Below are 3,615 nucleotides of genomic sequence, written 5' to 3'. Positions count from 1 at the left end.
TGTTTTTGGGAAATGCCTGAAGCATGTTACAGCCAACAGGTGCTACAGTGGTTGAGAATCAAAAACATACCAAACCAGGGGATTATCAGACAGGGTTTCCAGGAAGAGGTTGGCCCGGGAAGGATGGCTAAGCTGATATATATATTTAGGAGGCAATGGCGGGGGAAGGTATAGGATGGGTGGCAGTCCAGCAAGCTGCTTGGCATGCCTCCCAGCCTGCGTCAGGCTCCTTGGATGTGGGCCTCTGTGCTATATTCACACATCATCTAAGTGGGTTGTTAAACACAGGCAGTAGCTACCAAGGGATGCTATGGTTTCTCCTTCCTTGGAGATCTTTAAAAATAGGCATAAGCGATCAACTGTCCTAAATTGTTTAGGAAAGGAAGTACTGGCGTGATTGGCTCCTACAGTGTATCAAGCTGTTTAACTGTCATCTGATAGTTATCATCTGATACAATCATCTCAAGAACACTGTGAGGTTGGCACTATTATTATCCCCATTTTACAGATGAGGAGATCGAGGCTCAGAGAAGGTAGGTAATTGTCCAAAGTCACACAGCTGGGATGAGATGTGTCTTTTTGGCTGCAGAGCCTGTGGTCTTCCCACTACCCTCCAAGGCTGCTGAGGATCTCTCTTGCGGTCTTTTTTTAGGACTTAGCACATTCTATATTAGAATAGCACATGGTGCTCTGTAAGGCTGACATTAGTTAGTAGACTTGTAATCATGATGATAGCAAAAGTGACTCCAGTCACATGACTGAATTCTATTGATTTTAGGGCAGCATTTATTTGAGGCAGGAAGTTGGACCAGATGACCTATTCATGCCTCTCTGTCAATGTTGTTCTATTTACAAAGAGATGGTGAAAGTAGCAGTAAATTTTATCCTCCATAGCTTGTTATTCGGGGGAATATGGATTAAAGCAATCACTGAATTAAATGCTGGATACCCAAAGTTCCAATAGTGCAGAGATGCATTATTACACACCTGTGCATAGAGAGACATGGAGGTAAGTGTGTAAGAATTTTATAAGGAAGATGCAGAAGGCATGAAAAGTCAAAGTCAGGACTTGCAAGTCCCATGAACTTGACCCCTTAGGGATATTGCTTGAGAGGAAGCATGGGGCGTTGACATCAGACAGCCCTGGGTTCAGATCCTCACTCTGCCACTTACTAGCTGGGCTGTCTGGCAGCAGTCACGTAATGTTTCTCTCTTGGTCAGTGTGCTTCGGTTGCATGTAACAGAAACTAATGTGGCTGCCTTGAGCAGGGGAGGCTCAAGCTCTGGACCTCAGAAAGGGCTGATGGATGAGGTCCTCAGAGTTTCCACCATCTCTGCTCTGAATATTAGTCATGTAGATTGTGGATTACATGAGAGGCCTGGGTCCCACACCACACTCTGGGCAGCAGGGCAGGGCACTTTGACTCTTGGTACTTCGACTATTGTTGATGAGACTGTGTCATGACTGTCGCATCATGATAGTGTCCAGTGGGAGGGAGAGGGGTTCCCTGAAGCAGAATTGGGACAGAAACATTGAATAGTCACTACTGCCTCTGAGGCTCAGTTCATTCACCTGTAAAATGGGGATAATGACAGCTGCCTCAGAGAGGTTTGTTTAGGATTCAAATTAAGTATCTAAACTGGTTTGCACCAAAAAATTTCAGTAAATGGTACTTAATGCTATAATACAGTCAAATCTTTAGTGTCCCTTTTGAAGATGGCCCATGGTAACTTTTATTTGTTAATTCCAGTATGTACCTTTAAAAGAAAAAAGGAACATATTCCCTACGTAGTGAAAGTAACATCCATATCACACTTAATGCAACTAATAATAATTTCTTAATACCAGCCAGTACGTTCAAATTCAAATTTCCTTGGTAACTTTTAAATCTGGTTGGTCGACTGCCTTATGCAGCGGATTTTCTCTGTGGGCTCATGGAGGATAAGCTCATTGCAATATTCATCCAAGCCAAGCAGAATTGGAAAGGTACTTTTGTTACAGGAAAAAAAAATCATGGACTGTATTTCAAGACTAAATAGAGTTGATCTGGGATTTCCCTCTGTTTTGGTGTATCCAGGTCACCACTCCCCCTCATTAGTGTCGACTGTATTTAACACTGCCACAGTTAATGAAAGCTTCAGTAGTTAAACACGTACATGACATCCTCTGTTACTCCAGGGTGCATGTCCAAGGCTTCCAGCCCAATTCAGCATTTATTGAGTGTCTACTATATGCAGGATATTTCTCTTTCTAACCATTCTTGTAGACTTCTCAAGCCAAACTTAAGTTTTTCTCCTGTAAATTTTATATATCAAGAGCCAGATTTGGCTGTCTAAAGTAGGAGAGAAGGAACAGTCACATTACAGGATTACTTATCTGTGAATTTTAAGATCTAGTAAAGAGAATCCTTCCGGTTCTTATGGGGACAAACATTTCATAATATAAATTTTAAAATTAACAAAGATTAAAAAGAAAAGATCAGCCTGTTTGTTTCTTCTCACCCAGTGATGCTTTTCCTACAAGGACAAAGAGATCTGTAAAGAAAAATCTTATGCTAAGTCTAGGAAACCAGTCTTCAGGGCTTCATTGAAGTAGGGAAAGACAGCAATTCCCAATCTGGAGTCTTCCCCAAAGACTGCTGTTTCTAGTTCCTTGAGCCAGAAATCACTGCCTTCAAGACAGCAAAAAGAGAAAGAAAAGTTCTGAGCCAGGATTAAAAAGGTACAATATCAAATATTTTCTTTTCTTTTATTTATTTACCTTTTTTGAGACAGAGTCTCGCTCTATGCCCAGGCTGGAGTGCCATGGTATGATCTCAGCTCACTGCAACCTCCACCTCCTGGGTTCAAGCGATTCTCCTGCCTGAGCCTCCCAAGTAGCTGGGACTACAGGTGCACACCACCATGCCTGGCTAATTTTTTCTATTTTTAGTAGAGACGGGGTTTCACCATGTTGGCCAGGCTGGTCTTGAACTCTTGACCTCAGGTGATCTGCCCTCCTCAGCCTCCCAAAGTGCTGGGATTACAGGCGTGAGCCACCACACCCAGACCAAACTAGAGTATTTTATAAGACCAAATATGAGAAACGAAGTGGAGAAAGGGGGCCTCTTAGGTGCTGCTGGAGGGAGTGTAATTGGAAACACCCTTTCTGGAGGGCAATTTGGAAATACTATCAAAAGTCTTTAAAATGTTCATATTCTTGGAATGAATCCCAAGGAAATAAATAGGCTATACCAAAAGATTTATCCATAGGAATAGTCATTGCAATATTGTTTATAATAGTGGAAAATTGGAAATAATCTTAACATCCAACCACAGACTTGGCAAATCTACTGGTTTAGATTGGTTCAATAATTTACAGGGCATCCATCCATGATGGAATATTATTCAGGCATTAGAAAGGATGATGCAGGAATGAGGTTCTCAGTTAGAGTTCATGGTTCAGGAAATCTCTGAAATTATATGCAGGTTTGTGTGTGTGTGTTTGTGTGTGTTTGTGTGTGTGTGTGTATGTGTACGCACTTCTCGGAGAGAGGATTCTTACGGATTTTCAAATAGTTACCTGACCCAAGAGGGTAAAAAATCACCACTGTAGAAAATATTTAAAGCAGAAAG

At 41.8% G+C, this 3,615-nt stretch overlaps 1 annotated feature.

The window, feature by feature from the left end:
- Positions 545-741: a silencer, noted in NCBI's record as "fragment chr11:46220028-46220224 (GRCh37/hg19 assembly coordinates)". NCBI's record gives its function as "represses an EF-1alpha promoter that drives an FKBP-Casp9 reporter gene in an ReSE screen in K562 erythroleukemia cells {active_cell/tissue: K562}" and the evidence as "EXISTENCE:reporter gene assay evidence [ECO:0000049][PMID:32094911]".

This window comes from Homo sapiens, chromosome 11 (assembly GCF_000001405.40).
Source record: "Homo sapiens chromosome 11, GRCh38.p14 Primary Assembly".
In the NCBI taxonomy this organism is placed as follows: Eukaryota; Metazoa; Chordata; class Mammalia; order Primates; family Hominidae; genus Homo; species Homo sapiens.
This window is presented reverse-complemented; position numbering and strand designations above follow the sequence as displayed.